Source organism: Homo sapiens, chromosome 17 (genome assembly GCF_000001405.40).
Source record: "Homo sapiens chromosome 17, GRCh38.p14 Primary Assembly".
Taxonomy (NCBI): Eukaryota; Metazoa; Chordata; class Mammalia; order Primates; family Hominidae; genus Homo; species Homo sapiens.
In genome coordinates this window covers 20,570,734-20,588,623 of record NC_000017.11, presented here as the reverse complement: position 1 = coordinate 20,588,623, position 17,890 = coordinate 20,570,734, and the positions used below count along the sequence as shown (strand labels likewise).

The 17,890-nt window shown below is 48.3% G+C and overlaps 1 protein-coding gene, 1 long non-coding RNA gene and 1 pseudogene across 6 annotated transcripts, besides 3 other annotated features; 2 read left to right on the top strand and 1 right to left on the bottom strand.

The window, feature by feature from the left end:
- On the top strand, positions 2,165 to 5,066 carry ZSWIM5P2 (zinc finger SWIM-type containing 5 pseudogene 2; annotated as a pseudogene).
- Positions 2,317 to 2,516: a silencer, noted in NCBI's record as "fragment chr17:20489421-20489620 (GRCh37/hg19 assembly coordinates)". NCBI's record gives its function as "represses an EF-1alpha promoter that drives an FKBP-Casp9 reporter gene in an ReSE screen in phorbol 12-myristate 13-acetate-treated (for megakaryocytic differentiation) K562 erythroleukemia cells {active_cell/tissue: K562(+PMA)}" and the evidence as "EXISTENCE:reporter gene assay evidence [ECO:0000049][PMID:32094911]".
- Positions 3,853 to 4,390: an enhancer, noted in NCBI's record as "H3K27ac-H3K4me1 hESC enhancer chr17:20487547-20488084 (GRCh37/hg19 assembly coordinates)". NCBI's record gives its function as "activates a minimal SCP1, AML or CMV promoter by ChIP-STARR-seq in naive and primed H9 embryonic stem cells {active_cell/tissue: H9 hESC(naive and primed)}" and the evidence as "EXISTENCE:reporter gene assay evidence [ECO:0000049][PMID:30033119]".
- Positions 5,067 to 7,712: 2,646 nt separating the features above from the next.
- CDRT15L2 (CMT1A duplicated region transcript 15 like 2) lies at positions 7,713 to 8,900 on the bottom strand. The gene is made up of 2 exons (NM_001190790.2): positions 8,616 to 8,900; positions 7,713 to 8,475 (listed from the first exon to the last, which is right to left on the bottom strand). The coding sequence occupies exons 1-2, from the start codon at positions 8,878 to 8,880 to the stop codon at positions 7,895 to 7,897; spliced, it is 846 nt and encodes a 281-aa protein (NP_001177719.1). The 5' UTR covers positions 8,881 to 8,900; the 3' UTR covers positions 7,713 to 7,894.
- Positions 8,739 to 9,737: an enhancer, noted in NCBI's record as "H3K4me1 hESC enhancer chr17:20482200-20483198 (GRCh37/hg19 assembly coordinates)". NCBI's record gives its function as "activates a minimal SCP1, AML or CMV promoter by ChIP-STARR-seq in primed H9 embryonic stem cells {active_cell/tissue: H9 hESC(primed)}" and the evidence as "EXISTENCE:reporter gene assay evidence [ECO:0000049][PMID:30033119]".
- Positions 8,931 to 14,545, top strand: LOC105371580 (uncharacterized). 5 transcript variants are annotated; one of them, XR_001753090.3, is made up of 5 exons: positions 8,935 to 9,092; positions 9,460 to 9,586; positions 9,772 to 9,997; positions 11,830 to 12,139; positions 12,765 to 13,188. It is a non-coding gene; the product is annotated as an uncharacterized LOC105371580 (long non-coding RNA). The 5 variants fall into 5 exon arrangements; XR_934313.4 differs by having other exon boundaries at positions 8,931 to 9,586; positions 11,727 to 12,139; positions 12,765 to 13,191; XR_934315.4 differs by lacking the exon at positions 12,765 to 13,188 and adding an exon at positions 14,329 to 14,545 and having other exon boundaries at positions 8,933 to 9,586.
- The last annotated feature ends 3,345 nt before the right edge of the window (positions 14,546 to 17,890 follow it).

Here is a 17,890-nt window from a genome sequence, read left to right as displayed (position 1 = left end):
TCTTAATCGTGGCACTCTGTTGAGTTTGTGAAATGGATCTTCAAAGAGGTTGTCAATAATAACCAAATTTTTGAAACGAGTCAGATTACTAATTATTGATGAATAAAAAATGAGTACTTTTAGGCTAGGTGCAGTGGCTCATGCCTGTAATCCCAGCGCTCTGGGAGGCCGAGGCGGGTGGATCACGAGGTCAGGAGATCGAGACCATCCTGGCTAACACAGTGAAACCCCGTCTCTACTAAAAATACAAAAAATTAGCCAGGCGTGGTGGTGGGCGCCTGTAGTCCCAGCTACTCGGAAGGCTGAGGGAGGAGAATGGTGTGAACCTGGGAAGCGGAGCTTACAGTGAGCCGAGATCGTGACACTGCACTCCAACCTGGGAGACAGAGTGAGCCTCCGTCTCAAAAAAAAAAAAAATGTGGTAATATTTGAAATTGCTAAGACAGCAGATTTTAAATGTTCTCACCAAACACACACAAAAAGATAAGTATTGATTGGCCAGGCACAGTGGCTCATGCCTGTAATCCCAGCACTTTGGGAGGCCGAGGTGGGTGCATCACGAGGTCAGAAGCTTGCCAAGATGGTGAAACCCCATCTCTACTAAAAATACAAAAATTAGCCTAGCGTGGTGGCAGGCGCTTGTAATCCCAGCCACTCAGGAGGCTGAGACAGGAGAATCGCTTGAACCTGGGAGGCAGAGGTTGCATTGAGCCGAGATTGCACCATTGCACTCTAGCCTGGGTGATAGAGGGAGACTCCATCTAAAAATAAAAAAATTAAAAAAAAAAGATAAGTATCTAAGCTAACTGATATGCTATGTCAGTTGATTTAGCCATTCTATAATGTATGTCTGTGGCTATATAGATATACACAGATTTAACTATTCTACAATGCGTGTCTGTGTGTGTGTATATATGTATAATGTGGTACACCACAAATACACACAATTTATCAATTAATTTTTTTAATTCCAAAGATTTTTTTGACTAATATACAACCCAACCACAAGTTTAAGAGCATTCTAATTAGATGTCCTTTCCAATACCTGATTTTGTCAGTCTTTCTTTTATATATTCTGGTTAGTGGGTAATGTTATTACATTTTTATTGATTTTGGTCTTCTAATTATTAAAATGCCTGAGACCATTTTCATATATGTTTATTGAAAATGTATATAATCAGGCTGGGCACGGTGGCTCATGCTTGCAATCCCAGCACTTTGGGAGGCCAAGGCAGGCAGATCACTTGAGGTCAGGAGTTTGAGACCAGCCTGGCTAACATCATGAAAACCTGTCTCTACTAAAAATACAAAAAAATTAGCCGGGCTTGCTGGTGGGAGCCTGTAATCCCAGCTACTCGGGAGGCTGAGGCAGGAGAATCGCTTGAAGCCTGGAGTCGGATGTTGCAGTGAGCCGAGAACTTACCATTGCACTCTAGCCTGGGCGACAAGAGCAAAGCTCTGTCTCAACAAACAAGCAACCAACCAACCAACCAACCAACCAAACAAACAAAAAGTAGCTTCTTGGTTGAAAGGCTGAGGTGGGAGAATCCACCCGGGAGGTGGATGTTGCAGTGAGCCAAGAACGCGCCACTGCTCCAGGCTGGGCGCAAGAGCGAAACTTCATCTCAAAAAACCAAGCCAAAACAAAACAAAACAAAAAAGAAAATCTATATAATTGTATTTTCAGGGATCTGTGCAATATTTTTTTTTTTTTTGAGACAGTCTAGTAGCTCTGTTGCCAGGCTGGAGTGCAGTGGTGCGATCTGGGCTCACTGCAACCTCCACCTCCCGAGTTCAAGCAATTCTCTTGCCTCAGCCTCCCGAATAGCTGGGATTACAGGCACGTGCCGCCATGCCCAGCTAATTTTTTTTTTTTTTTTTTGAAATGGAGTCTCGCTCTGTCGCCCAGGCTAGAGTGCAATGGCACGATCTCGGCTCACTGCAAGCTCCGCTTCCCGGGTTCACGCCATTCTCTTGCCTCAGCCTCCCGAGTAGCTGGGACTACAGGGGCCCGCCACCACGCCCAGCTAAATTGTTTGTATTTTTAGCAGAGACGGGGTTTCTCCATGTTGGCCAGGTTGGTCTTGATCTCCTGACCTCATGATCCGCCCACCTCGGCCTCCCAAAATGCTGGGATTACAGTCATGAGCCACCACGCCTGGCCAAGACTACTCTTTAATTCCCAAGGCCAGCCACTGTGGTTTGAGCATGTGCAACAGCCTGTGCTCGGGTTGATGCCCCACATTCCCATGGTTATCCAAAAGAGGCCCTCAGACTCACAGTGGCCATTATTAATACTCTGAGGTTCAGCAGCGGTGGCAACTGAAAATCTACAAGCATCAGAAGAAAGAAGTGCTGCAGAGGGGAACCACAACCATCACAAACCTGGAAGGCTGGGTGGGCCACCCCCTGGATCCCATCGGCTGCCTGTTTCTCACTTTGACTGAGGCCTGCCTCCTGAATGATGACAGGTATCTAGATACGAATGAAAGCAGACCCCCTGTGTACCAACATGTACCTGTGGCTGTAAGCTCCCCAAACAGCAGTGAGTCCTACTTGTCATTGGCCCTGGAGGCTGCATCGATGGGCCTGGGTCACAGAGGGTAATGCCTGAAGGCTCCTATGCACAGGACAAGGTGTGCCGTAATGAGGAGCAGCTCCTCAGCCACCTCCAAGAGCTGCAATTGGATGATGACCCAGTGCAAACACTCCAAAAATAGTGCATCTTGCTGCTGGAAGGGGACCCTTTCAGGGATCTGGGAGAAGTCATCCACCGAGAGAGCGTTTCCATGCATACCTCTGCCAAGTATTTGTTCTCAGCTCTGCTGTCTCGTGATCCAGACCCTGCCTATAAATTAGGCTTACGTGTATAAGGTTACCCGTTTTAGAAAATTCAGGTTGTGCAGGCGACACATCCCTCACTCACTGTATGGTGTCCCCGGTGCCCAGCCATTATCCTCCCTGGTTCTTGCTTGGACACTTGGAATCACAGCGGTGGGAACTGGCCTCCACCATGCTGACTGCTGCCAAAGGAGACACTTTGAGGCTCTGAACAATTCTGGAAGCAATGCAGAAGCACATTCGTTCTTCCCCCCTCATCTTCAAACTGGCCCAAAATGCGTTCAGGATTGCTACTCCCACTAACAGTACTGACAGCACCCTGCTCAACGTGGCCCTGGAACCTGGGTTACAGGTGATGCGATGACCTTATCATCCCTTAACTGGAGACGCGGAGAGATGGTATGATGGTTGGTGACCTGTGCTACAGAAGTGGGTATCGCCCACCTCCCTCTACTCCCACGGGAAAGGAGTTTCTATACCCTACTCTTGGGACAGGACAACGAATCCTTGGAGCTCTCATATTCCTATTCCTGATGGCCTAAGAAAGGATGCGGCTGCTGGTGGGAGAAGATAGCCTCTGTTCAGCCAGCCCAAGTTCTGTCCTCACTGCTTAAACCAACCACATGCTGATGTCAGCAGCACTTTGACCCTCTCATCAGAGACATGTCTAAGAGAATGAATTTTCAGCTGCCAATACTCAAGTGTGCCCTTGGGAGGTAGTGGGCCTGGTGGTTTGGTCCCCGTCCCTGTCCATGCTTGTGAGAAACTCCAGACACCTTGGAGGCTCAGGACCCTTTCTAAAGCCCAAAGCCCCAGCACAAGACTCTACCCTGACAGGCCCCACTTCAGCTAGAACCCCTGGCAGATCTGCAACCCTGGCCTTGGGTTAAGCAAACCCCAGGATCTACTGCTCCATCCTTGTGAGGGGCTGAGAGCACCTGCAGAAACCTTCAACCCTCTGACCTGGGTAAGGAAGGGATAGGAAGAGACCCCAAACAAGGTTTGGCCATCTGGGATGCTTCTCTTGCCCTGGTTTGCCTCAGATCATGTCAAGGTTGCTGAGGAGGAGGGAGAACTCATCTCTGCAGGCCAAGTTCAAACCCCACACGGTAATCTGGGCCGACCTGAATCAGGACTGAGATGGCCACGGCTGAGCTCAGGCTCTCCCCGACAGGTGTGTGGGCCTCAGGGAGCATCTTGCAGAGCTGGCACACACTCTTCACCCCTACTGAGGCTGCTAGCATTGTAGCTGCCACAGCCGTATCCCACACCACTATCCTGCGCCTCAGTCTTGACTATCCACAGCGGGAGGAATTGGCCAGCTGTGCTTGCACACTGGCCCTGCAGTGTGCTACGAAGCATCCACAGAGCTGTGCCCTGTCAGCCCTTACACTCTGTGAGAAAGACCACATTGCCTTTGAGGCAGCCTGCCAGATTGCCACCGAGGCTGCTGCCGGTGGCATGACCCATTCACAGCTGTTCACCATTGCCTGCTACGTGGAGCTCCAGGGCTACACGCTCCACGCCTTCAAGCTGGTCTCATTGGCCATGAGCCATCTTCACCTGGCTCATAACCAGGATACCCACCCAGCCATCAGTGATGTGCTCTGGGTTTGTGCCCTCAGCCACTCTCTGGGCAAGAATGAGCTGGCAGTTCTCATCCCCCTGGTGGTGAAGAGTGCGCACATTGCCATGGTGCTTTCAGACATCCTGTGTGCGAGGCTGCACGGTGACTGCACCTGGCCTGGCCGGCACCCCGGGCCACCACAGCTCTGGAAAGCTCATCTCCACTGACAGAGCTCCATGGCACCAGTTGCTGATGCAATGCTTACATCAACACCACACACTACACCTAACACACATTAGCCATTGCCAGTATGGACAGTTCATTGAGTTTCTAAGCAAGGCTCGGGAGACCCTCCTGCTGCCTTAGGATGGCTACCTGCAATTTGCCCTGTTCATCAACAACCACAAACGATCTACAAAGGCAAGAAAAAGCTGATGCTGCTGGTTCGAGAGCCCTTTGACTGAGAAAGCAGATAGCTCACCGGCCCGGCAGCCTGGGTCCCCAGGTAGTATCAGGTCAGGCCAAAAACACTGAAACATTTGTCCACCCTGGGAGGACTCTGAGCACCTGTGGCTGAGGCCAAAGGACCACAGGGCTAAGGATGGGGAGAGTCCAACTCCAGTCGGTATGCATACCTTGGCAAGCTTCTCACTACAGCCCACTGTTCGTGGAGAAGCTGGGCCTTGCAGATCGACCAGAAACCCCCACGATATGCCACCTTATGCCCCTACGTCCTGAGTGTCCTGGGCATTGGCCCTGTCTCCCTTGGCAAACACAGAACACTGTTCCATCTCAGAGATTGCTTCACCAGAGAAACAGATGCATTTAAGGTACTGTAAGTACTATAGTATATGTGTTGCCAATTACTGTAAAGTCGTAAGTATTTATAATTTTGGTTCTGATTTGCTGGGCACTTGAGGTAGCTGTGGGTGGGAGGGTATGCTTATTGTCCGAGGAGACTCACAACCATTTCTCAGGTTTCCCTTGCAGAGTGTGTGCCGTTACCAGTGGGATAGTGGGTGTGCCAAGGAGAAAAATGGCCAGTTAGAAAAAAATCCCAAGACTAGTCTATGCAGAATCTCTCGCCTACAGACAGGGCATTAATAGCCCAGTGGTGGGTGAGCAGCAGAGGCCAGGACTGGACTCAGACTTTTGCCTCACAAAGCTGTGAGGACTCTGAAGGTCCTGCCCCTGCCTCACACAGCCTCGCCAGGAGTCTGCTGAGCACCTTTGAAACAAGAGCAGGGAAAAGATGAAGGTCTGGGAAGCCACTGAGCTCACAATATTCATCTACACTGATCACCTTTGTGTTAGAAAGTGTGTGTATGTGCATGACTGAGTACATGTGTCTATGTGCATAGATATATCTGCGCGTGCCTGTCTGTATGTGCACATTATATGTTGATGTGTATGTATGTCAGTTCTATGGCTGTGTACCTGTGTGGATATGTGCACACTGGAATGTGGGTCTCTGTGTGAGGATGTAACATTTGCACACATGTGAGGGTGCATATCTATGTGTAAATGCTGTCATGTTTTGCATGTTTAGTGTGTGTGTATCTGGGCACACAGGAGTGCATGTGTAGAGATATGCGTCTGTGTGTATGCTTGCTCTCCATGCATCTGTGTTTTTATATGTGTAACTGAGCATATTTCTACATGTAGGGATGACTGCGTGTCCATCTTTGAGGATCTGCATGAATGTGTCCTTTTTGCGAGATTTCTCTTCCCATTCGTCTTAAATCTCTCTCACTAGTTAAATGTTTGTTCCCCATTTCTGTGCCTCCTCTATTTATTCCCTCTCACCAAACAAGCTTCTAAGCACCGGTCTCCCTCTGCCATCAGATTGGCTGCTTTCACTGCACATTTCCCTTCTCGCCCCGTACTTGCTTTCTTCCCCTGCCTTTCTACGTCAAGCTTCCTCTGCCTGCTTTTGTCACAGTCTCATTGCGTGCTGACTTGGAGGCTAGGGCTGGTCTGCACTTAGCCTCTCCCTTCTTAATTTCTAGCCCTAATGAGCAGCCCTGTCTTAGCCCTGGCTGACCTCCACAGTGTATCATCATGTTCCTGCTACCTTCCTGACCCCTATGCTCAGCCTGGAATTGTTGTAGGAGATAGCAAGGGCATTCAGAAGAGTCAGTTGGTTACCAGTGCCTTTGTGTTTACTCTTTTACATGTTAGATCCTGAGTTGGGGGTGGGGTTTGATAAGGAAGAGGTGGTATAGCTAGAATGCGAACTAAGAACTTCTCCATCTGCTTTACTTTTTCTTTTGTTGACAAACTGTCACCTTTTCTACTCCAAACTGAGCAAGAAGTTGTATTTGCCGTATGTAGCTACTCAAGTCCTACTGCCCAGCCAAGGGTCCCTACAATGTCTCAGCCCAGTTGATTGGTTAAAAAGAGAGAGAGAGAGGGAGGTCACTCTCATTTTTGTATCGCAATTGTCCTTCTTTTTAGCAAGTGTGTGAACTCACAGTGCTTTCTATGAATAAACCATGGATCACATGAAAGAGCATTTTTCTTAAAGAAAACAAAAATTGTCTAAATTTTTGTTTAGACAATTTTGTTTAGACAATCCCCAGAGGGGACCAGCAAATACTTAATAGAAGATTATAGATTTCCTGTGAGTGCATATGGCTCGGGGTGACCTGATTCTATAAAGCAAATGTTATTGTCCTCCTCAAATTCATGCGTTGGATTCTATGTGATGGTATTTGGGGGTGGGGCCTTGGAAGGTGATTCGGTTCATGAAGGCAGGGACCTCATGAATGGAATTGGTGTCCCTATCAAAGGGACTGCAGAGAGCTCCCTCACCCCTTCTGTCATGTAAAGACACAGTAAAAAGATGGCTGTCTATGAACCAGGAAGCCAGCCCTCTGCAGACACGGAATCTGCTGACCATTTGACCTCGGATTTTACCATCTCCAGAACTGTGAGAAATCAATTTTCTATGCTACCTAGTCTATGGCATTCTGTTTTGACACCCAGATTAGCTAAAGTACCAGCATGTCAATTTGCACACATAATTCTTGGAAACTCTGATGCCAAATCCTTGATGGCAAAAGGTGATTGATCTGCCGGAGACATGAGCCTACATCATCCCTCTTTCCACAATAAACCAGAGAGTCAAAACAGGCAAGAGTGGGTCAAGGTCTTCTAAAAGCCATACCTGAAAGGTTTCCAATAACAGATGACTCGATGGTAATTCAGCCACACAAACAACCACAACAAAAGACACAACTATCCGAGATTTTCAGGATAGCCTCAAAAACACCATCTAACATTAGGGAGTTCAAAAAGGTGAGAAGTTTCAGAAATCAAACTTTATTTATATTTCATTTCATAAACTTGTAATTCTAACACTATTAATAAATGCTAGGGCAGGTGGTGGCATGGAGAGCCTGGAGCACAACAGCTGTCTTTAAAAGCTTTCCTTGCTGTACCCTTTGGAGCCACCTCCTGGTCCCCTCAACCCCTGCCCACCTGTTAAGAGCCCGTTCGGGGCAGCACATTAGGGGCAAACAGCCTGGATGCCCAGTTGCAGACACACTTCCATGCCTGGAGGAGAAGATTGCGTCTGAGAGCAGGAGGAGCTGCTGGAACTCTTCTTCCCAGCCTTGTTTTAATGCTCTTGAGCATCACCTTCACAGAGATATACCCCACCAGAATTAGCACAATAAACAGGCCCTGCAGCAGCAGGGCTGTGGTTCCGGCGAATGAGAGAAGCCTCTCTCCAGCGAGGTACAGGAGTCCAGTCTGAATGCCCTGGTCTCCGCCTCCATGTTTGCCACCATGCCCAGGACTAGGGGCAGCATGGGATCTGCTGGCTGGGGCTGTGCTTGTCACCCCCTCCCTCCCACTTCTCTCTCCAGCCACGTTTTCAGCTCCAGCATTAAGGCCAGTGGCTACAGTAGGTGCCATGATTTCAGGCAGCTCCTGGCTGGGCTGGTCCTTGGCTGGAGCTCCCTCCACCTCCAGCGCTCTCTCTGGAGGGGGCTCTTCCCATGCTGGCTTTGGCTCGACAGCCGGTGCCGCAAGTGCTGCTATGTCTGCGTACGGACCAGGAGCTGAAAAAGGAGAAAGGGTCACCAGCATCAGTCACTTTCCACTGGAATTTCCAAACACAGAGACAACCTCACTGAATTCAAAGGCATTCCAGCCCAAAAGCACCGCCCCCGCAAAGTCTTCCAGGCTGCAGCCACCTCACCATGTGTCTGTGCCTCCATGGGCTCCCGAATCTCCTCCTGGACAAGGACAATGTGCAGAGGCAGCCCCGATGGGATCTCTGGTGTGGCCTGGCCAGCTAGGGCCTGCCCCGGGCTGTCCTGTGGTACCTGGGTGCGCCTTCTTACAAAGGGCCACAGGCGTCTGGGGTGAGGGATGAGCCTTCTTCGGCATTGTCGGAAAAGGCTCTCACTCCCTCCATTCCTGAAGCAGCAACCTCTCGAAGTGGGGAAGCAACAGGAGAACATCTTGCTCTCTTGAGCGTCTCCCACAAAGTGAGCTGGTTACGGCGCTGACTCTAGGATATGGGTGCCTGGTTACCAGAGTTCTAAGTTCTCTTCGTGTGTGTCATCATCGAGGAAGTGAGGTCGCTTCTTTACGGTTCTGTCCCCTAGGCCCCTTCCTTCCATAAGCCTACTCAGGACTCCACTGGGTTACTGACTACTCACCCTCCCCTCAGGTCATCTCCTGACCCGTACACAGTTATGTCCACCCAGGCTCTGCTTGGACACCTGTGCCTGATGTTCACCAGGGGCCAGATGTCGTCCTCAGGCCTGATGTCCACCTGGGGCCTGATGTCTGCCTTGGCCTATGTCCCTCTTGGGGCCTTGTGTTCACCTGGGGACTGTATCCAGCTGGGGCCTGATGGCCTACTGGGTCTTGTTGTTCACCTAAGGCCTTGTGTCCACCTGGGGACTGGTGATCACCTGGGGCCTGGGTGTCCACCTGAGGCCGGAGGTGCACCTAAGGCCTGAGTTTTCACCTGGGCCTGATGATCACCTGGGGACTGGGTGTGTGCCTTGGGTCTTTTCCCTTTTCCTGAACAGGGCTTGCAGTTTCCAAACCAGACACAATCTCCCAGTTGGAGAAAGAAAAAGGATCCTAGATGATAGTGAGACAAATTTCAGGAAACTCCATCCAAATAAGTAAATGAGAATGAGGACAGGATTCATTGTAAGTAACATTCTCAGGTGGTGTTCCAAAGTTATCTTTTGCCTGGGTACAGTGGCTCACACCTGTAATCCCAGCTCTTTGGGAGCCCAAGGTGGGAGGATCACTAGAGGCTAACAGTTTGAGACCAGCTTGGGCAATGGAGTGAGACCCCCATTCTGAAAAAAAAAAATCAAAAAATTTAACAGGCATGGTGGCATGTGCCTGCAGTCCCAGCTACTCAGGAGGCTGAGGTGGGAGGATCGCTTGAACTCAGGAGTTGAAGGCTGCAGTGGGTGAGGATCACAACACTGAATTCCAGCTGAGGTGACAGAATGAGACCCTGTCTCTCTAAAAAACAAGCAAGCAAACAAACCAAAAACCACAAACAAACCAGACCCCTCTTAGCAGAATACTTCCATGAGGTAATAAAAGGTATGTACCAAATGCCTACAACAAACATATGTCATGATGAAATGTTAAATGCTTCCCATGGAATTAGGTTCAGGACAAGGTTCCATCCACCATCGCATTTGAATCCCACGTTGCACAGTGTAAAGGGGCCTGCCCAAGGTCATAACATTGCACACTGGGTAAGTCAAGAGAACCCAGTACAGCACTTTAGATCCTTCATTATAGTTTTGTTCTAAAACTGCTCCTGTTATCTTTTGGACATGAGTCTCTTAAGTATTATCATTTGAATTCACGTATACTAGTTCATTTTCACACTGCTCTAAAGAATACCTGAGACTGGGTGATATATAAGCAAAAGAGGTTTAATTGGCTCACAGTTCTGCATGGCTGCGAAGGCCTCAGGAAACTTACAATCATGATGGAAGGCAAAGGGGAAGCAGGCAATTTCTTCACAAGGCAGCAGGAGAGAGGGGAGAGCAGGGGAAACTGCCACTTATGAATCCATCAGACCTCATGAAAACTCACTTACTATCATGAGAAGAGCATGGGGCAAACCACCCCCATGATCCAATCACCTCCCACCAGGTCCCTCCCTTGACACATGGGGATTAAAATTCAAGATGAGATTTGGGTGGGGACACAGAGCCAAACCATATCATTCTGACACTGGTCCCTCCCAAATCTCATGCCCTTTTCACATTTCAAAACCAATTATGCCTTCCCAACAGTCCCCCAAAGTCTTAACTCATTCCAGCATTAACCCAAAAGTCCAAGTTCAAAGTCTCATCTGAGACAAGGCAAGTCCCTTCCACTTACGAGCCTGTAAAATCAAAAGCAAGTTAGTGACTTCCAAGATGCAATGCGGGTACAGGTACAGGCATTGGGTAAATGTTCCCATTCCAAACGGGAGAAATTGGCCAAAACAAAGGGGCCAATGGGCCTCATGCAAGTCCAGAATCTGGTAGGGGAGTCATTAAATCTTAAAGCTCCAACATTATCTCCTTTGACTCCATATCTCACATCCAGGGCATTCTGATGTGTGCTCCCAAGGTCTTGGGCAGCTCTGTCCCTGCGGCACTGCTGTTTTTACAGGCTGGCATTGAGTGACTGCAGCTTTTCCAGGCACATGGTACAGCTGTTGATGGATCTACCATTCGGGAGTCTGGAGGATGGTGGCCCTCTTCTCACAGCTCTGCTAGGCAGTGCCCCAGCGGAGACCCTGTATGGGGGCTCCAACCCCACATTTCACTTCTACCCTGCTCTAGCAGAGGTTCTCCATGAGGACTCTGCCCCTGTGGCAGACCCAAAATTATATATATCATTATAGTTGATATTCTGAGGTAGAGATAAAAGAAGCTATCAGTTTGATTAGGAGGTTTGGGTTTCGCGTTTTCTATGGTAATGTAAAAAGGCAGGAGGATTAGTATGTTACAAGTTCACTGCAATTACAAATCAGTTTCTGTGCATATAAGAAAGCACAAAATCACAGACCTAAGGTCTTGATAGATATGAAAGCAACCCTATATGATATCATGCCCACATCTTTACCTCAAACTCTCACCTAAAATTACTAGTGAGGACTTTTTTGTCCTGCTGTTAGTATTTGATAATTCTAGCTAGCATGCAATAAGATATCGATACATGAATAGTAACTTGATTTTATAATATTAATAACAGCTTAATTTTAAACATTTATGTTGTGCCTTGTACTCTATGGAAAATGTACACTTTCCTTTTTTCTCTAAATTAGGTTTAATTTATTTCAGAAGTTTCTAGATTTTATTGTCTCTATTTAGCCAAAGCCATAAGAAAAGTCAAATTCATATCTTTAAATGCTTTCATTATCAATCAAGAAAGAAGAAAGTGAAACGAACAAACAATTTTACTCAAGAAACTAGTGAGAAATCAAAGAAATGTCCAAGAAGTAGGATACAAGAATTAATCAAAACAGATTAACAGTGGAATAAATAAATGAATCCAACTGGTTCTTTGTAATGGAATGTGGAAAGACATACTCTATTCTTCTGGATAGGAAGATGAAATATCATAATCATATCAATGCAAGTTTTATGCATGCTCAAACATGTATAAACTAAGAAAAAATCTGAAAGGACAGACAGCAAAATGTTTGCAGTTTTTTTCCTCCAAGTGGTAAGATTAAAGGTAATACTTTTCTTTTTTATACTTTTCTGTATTTTCTAAATCTTCTGTAATGAACATGTAATTTTATGATGAGGAAAAAATAAGACATTTTTCAGATGCAAAATTACTTCTCGTTAATACATATAATGCAAATGTCAATCAAAATAATAAATAAATAAATATAATAAATATATAAATATAATAAAAGAGAGAGATGAGTGACTAGGGAAGAACTTCAAAAAGGGCCACATGGGAGATTAAACATAATGCAAAAGAGTAATGAGGAATCTAGGCCGGGCGCAGTGGCTCACGCCTGTAATCCCAGCACTTTGGGAGGAGGGGCATGGTGGCGGGTGCCTGTAGTCCCAGCTACTCAGGAGGCTGAGGCAGGAGAATGGCGTGAACCCGGGAGGCAGAGCTTGCAGTGGGCTGAGATGGTGCCACTGCACTCCAGCCTGGGTGACAGAGCGAGACTCCGTCCCAAGGAAAAAAAAAAAAAAAAAAGTGTAATGAGGAATCTTAAAGCAAAAAAAGAGAAAGTAATCTTATTCTTATTCTACAAGATATTAAAACCTAATGCAAAGCCTGGCTAGTAACTTCTATTAAAATTACTTTTATACTTTCAATAAAATACCTGCAAATTTAGAACACAGACAAAAATAGAAACTCCTCACATGACCCACCACGAAGCCCATCAGATGGCAGAATGCAGAATCAGGTTGCAGTGGACTGATCTTAAAACAGATGAAGCAGTGGAGAAAATCTTCCTGGAGCTGATGGTATAATTTGCTTCTTGAAACAATGACAGTCCATGAAATAAGGTGGGGAAGATGTTTTGAACCTCTCTCAGCAGCAGATCCCTAAATCACAGACCCAGAACTTGGAGGAAACAGGAAACAGGAGGCCATCTCTGCACCTCTCCAGCACTGCTCTGGTTGGTGGGCAGAATATCATAAAATCATCACGATTCTTATATCAAAAACCAAATTCTAGACTGATTAAATAATTATTTTTTTAAATGAGAAAAGTTATCGTTTATTTGATCTTGGGCTAGGGAAGATATTTCCAAGCAAAAAGGGTAAAAAGAAGGAAAAAGAAACGATTAACAGATTGGAAGGCAATAACAATATAATATCAAGTGCTGGCAAGAGCTCAGGGAAGTGCGTGTTCTCATGACTGCTGGAACAAATTGGTATAATATTTCTGAAGGGCAATCTGGCTGAATATGTTAGAAGTCTTTAAAATATTTATCCTCTGACTCAGTAATTCCACATCTAGAAATTTTTCCTAAGTAAGTAATAAGAAAGAGATGAAAAAGTATTTGAATATTGAAAGACTGGAAAGAACATAAAGGTTCAATAATACATATATGTTCAACAACAGGGGACTAGTAAATATGAATTATTTATATGATAAAATACTATCTAACCTTAAAATAATGTTTTAAATAATATTTAATGATGAGAATATGCTGAGAAAAGTTTAATCATTTTAAGAAAGTTACATGCAAAATTAAAGTTAATAACATGTACAAGATTATTCTAATTTTTTTTTTTTTTTGAGATGCAGTCTCACTGTTGTCACCTGGGCTGGAGTGCAATGGAGTGATCTCGGCTCACTGCAGCCTCCACCTCCCAGGTTCCAGCAATTCTCCTGCCTCAGTCTCCTGAGCAGCTGAGATTGTAGGCACCCGCCACCATGCCCGGCTAATTTTTGCATTTTTAGTAGACACGGGGTTTCACCATGTTGGTCAGGCTGGTCTCGAATGCTGGCCTTGCTGGGGTGCCGTGGAGTGGGGCCCCGCCCTGGTGAGTTGTTCACTGGGACCACCTTTCTGGAATGCTGGAAGGCGGCGTGGCAGGACCCACCGAATGCCTTCAAAAGCCAGTGGTCCATGCCTCTGTCTCCTTCCTTAGACTCTTCCAGAAGAGACTGGTCAGAGGTGCAGCACAGATGAACCTACAAAGCTGTTCATCAAAGCATCACTTACAATGGTGAAAAGGCAGAAGAATCACTGAATTCCACCAAGGTGGAGCAGCTGAGGAAATCATGGGTAGAACACTAGGGAGTCACAAGAAACAACATATTTGAGGGGACATTTATAGCAGAGGAAAATGCTCATGATCTAATGCTACACAAAAAGGGCAGGATACAAAATAAGGTGTATTGGAAGAAAGAGGGTGGCATGGTTGTCCATCCACTGCTTTCAGGGACTGGACTAAGTGACCTGGATCAGAGGGAGGGCAAGAGATCTGCTTCCTGCCTGAGCCCTGTGAACAGCTGAAATCACTCGTGTGTCTGCAGGAATCATTCTTATATTTGCTATTCTGAGGTAACGTCAAACCTACACAAAATTTGCAAGAAGAAAAAACACCCTGCCACATACTCTTACCTACATTCACCCATTGTTAACATTTTGTCACATTAATTTTCTCTCTCATTTTTTTTTTTTACACGGAGTCTCACTCTGTCACCCAGGCTGGAGTGCAGCGGCGCGATCTCAGCTCACTGCAACTTCTATCTCCTGGATGCAAATGATTCTCCTGCCTCAGCCTCCCAGGTAACTGGGACTGCAGGTGTGGACCACCATGCTTGGCTTATTTACTTGTATTTTTAGTAGAGACAGGGTCTCACTGTGTTGGCCAGGTTGGTCTCAAAATCCTGATCTCAAATGATCTGCCCACCTCAGCCTCCCAAAGTGCTGGGATTACAGGTGTGAGCCACCATGCCCAGCCTGTTTTTCACATTTCTATTTGATGCTCCAGAATTCAGGAGCTCTAAGAGGAGGCTGCCTGGGTGACCTGCCTGCGGTAAGAGTGGACAGGCTGCCTCCCGGCTGCTCCGAGGATGGCCCTGGGTCTGAGGGAGGGCATTGCACTCTGGCGTGTTTGGGACTGGCCTTTGGAGATGTAAACATGGAGCCTCCCTCAGGAACCCAGGGCAGGCGCCCCTGGGAAGAGGAATGGCTCCTTCTTTCCTCCCTCAGTCCCTTTCCTGAATGCCTATGTCACTTCTGGGCACACAGGGGCTCAGCTTGCAGGGAGCCACTCTCCAGGTGAGGCTCAGGTTTGGGGGCTCTCTGTGTGCCCCATCTGCTCCAGCACACTCTCCTCAGATGGGCCTCCTCTGTTCTCTGCTTTGCGCTCCCTGCAAGGAGTCCAATCCTCGAAGGTGGGAGAGTCCAGAGAAGAAAAGAGCCAAACGGAGGAAGAGGACCCTGGGAACCCTTGGGTGCCGCAGAGCTTGGGAGGTGACGCGTCTGGCCCAACTCTGCTCCTCTCTGCCGGTTCCCAAAGCCAGAAGTAGGCAGCTCCCTTATCCTGTCTTTTCAGAGGAAGTGTTGAGTCCAACAGGATGGGGTTCAAATACCAGCCTCACCACTGATTCTGGACAAGTTTATTCTCCTTTCTTAGCCTCCGTTTCCTCATCTGGAAAGTGGGGCTGTCTGAGAACTAAACCCGAGAAGGCACAGGAAGGGCTTCCCGTGGCTTCTGCAAAGAGCTCCACGAACACTCGCTCTCCTTCATCCGAGCAGCAATCCTCGCTGGGCCTCAGGTGCAGGGGGTAGCGGGGAACAAAACACCATCCTTGCGCTTTTACAGCTTACAATCCAGTGATTCTCATCATCAGTACATGTGGCCAAAGGCCCCTGGCTGACTTGTAGGCTGTGGGGTTGAATATGAGCCTCTGGGTGGTGTGGAAAATCTGGGAAACAGGTGGAAAGGGCAGCTATTCAAACCCTGCGAGGGTGCCGGGGCCATCAGGTTACACGTGGCAGCGCAGGTGAGCTCAGGTCTTCTCACCTGGGGCTTGTCAGGTACTAGGGACAGAAGGCACCCAGATTCCTCTAAGGAGCCACAGGGCTGGCCAGGCCTTGAGAAGAACAGAGTGTCAAAGTTCAGGGGACCCTTTCTCTCATCCCTTCAGGAGCCGATGTCCCTGCAGGGCCCCCACAAAGCACAGCCGAGTTTCTCCCACTTTCTCTGCATCTCTTTCTGCCTTCAGCTTCCTTTGTGGTGGCCTTTGTTTTTCCAGCCCATCTTTGGTGGCTCTCAAATGTCATCCCTGCTCCACAGAGAAAAGGGTGCCGAGTGGCCAACCATCCAGCCTGAGGGTCCCCTGCAGCAGCTCGCTCAGGCCAGGGTCCTCCCAGGATGCTGGTCCTGTGAACGGATGGAGGCTTCTGCCTGCGTGGTCACCATGGCCCCGGTGGGGAGGGGCGGTCAAGGAGCACAGGTGGGATTTGTGCAAAAGATCTGGACCGTGGCTCCTTTCTCAGTAGGGGCCGTGGGCTTCCAACCTTCCCAAGATTCCCCATGCAGAGCCAGGGCCTAAGTCTCAGACCCCTTGGTCATCCAGGCCCATCCAAGGCCCTGGGCCCGCCAAGACCTCTAGCCTTGAAGCACATGGTCCCCAGCTTATGTAAAACTTGGCATGAGTGAGAAACTCAACCACAGCAGGTGAAGACTGCCACCTCTTTCCGGCCTGTCTTTCCTTCACCACACTTCGGGGAGGTGAGGGGGCTCCGGCTTGATCATCAGCGGGTGCTCAGGCACCTCCTTGCATAGGAAAGTTGTTTCTCACCATCCCAGCATGGGCTTGGCTTCCGGGAGCCCTGCCTCCTCCTAGGCTGACTCGCCTGCTTGGCGCCAGGACATGGGAGATTCAGGGCCAGGGGCGGGGTCCTGCGGTTGTGGGCTGCACGTAGATGGTGAAGGAGAATCAGAGTTGAAATGCATAGAGGCTCTCTAGGACACAGTGCAAATGTACCGGCAATCCACCCACCGATTCCAACACCTGACCAAGATCCCCGGATGCAGAGCAGGCAGGCTTTGCCTGTAGCCATGGAGAAACCAAAACCAGTGGGAGGGTCACTTCCCATCTCTGCAAACGTGCTGTTCCTAGGAGCTCCGTCTACCTTGAATGCCCCATTTCTAGCTCTAGGATTTGCATCTGACAGTGGGATGTGTGTTTATGAAGGGAAGACCACAGAATAGAATCTTTTGGGAAAATAAATGGTCTTCCCTGCTTAGCCTGCTTTGATAATGCGGATTTTCCTTGCACTTGGAGCTTTCCTTCTCTAGGCTATTTTCTATATAACAGTGGATGTGAGTTTGGCCTTGGAGCCAGACTACTTGGCTTCAAAGTCGCTTGCCACTTCCTACCTGGGACCTAAGGCGAGCCGTGGAGCTCTAGGTCCCCCACCTGTGAAACGGGAAGAACCATGGTGCCCATGTTGCATCATACACATGCATACACAGGCACACCCTACCTGCAAAAAGCAAGGAGCAGGGTAAGGGGGCAGCTATCTGGGTCACGTTCCCCAGAAGTAGATCCTGATTTGTATGGCAGTGACTGATGAAGGACGGCACCCAAGGAGAGCGGTAAGGGAACGGGGGTAGCAGACAGAGAGGGGAAAAGCCATGCAAGGCTGTGGCCCCAGGCAAAATCCTACAGAAGCAGGTCCCTCTGTGGACTGTGGAGTGGAGTCACATCTCCGTTTCCCAGCCTGAGCTAAGGATACACATGTCAGTCATTAGTGAAGGGCCATCCTGCGGCAGGGGGACTTTTCCAGCTCTCTGCAGAAAGGACCAAGGGGCTCCAATAGCCTGATGACAGTCTTGCTGCAAAGAGTCATAGGTGTGGACAGTTGGAAACCAAGGCCATTCAGGCCAGGAAAGGGGCACATAGAAAGGTGCGAGGGGTCACACTTCTGTGACCTGCCGGTGGAGAGTGGACAGTAGCCACACAAGACAAAGGTGAGCGTTCTGA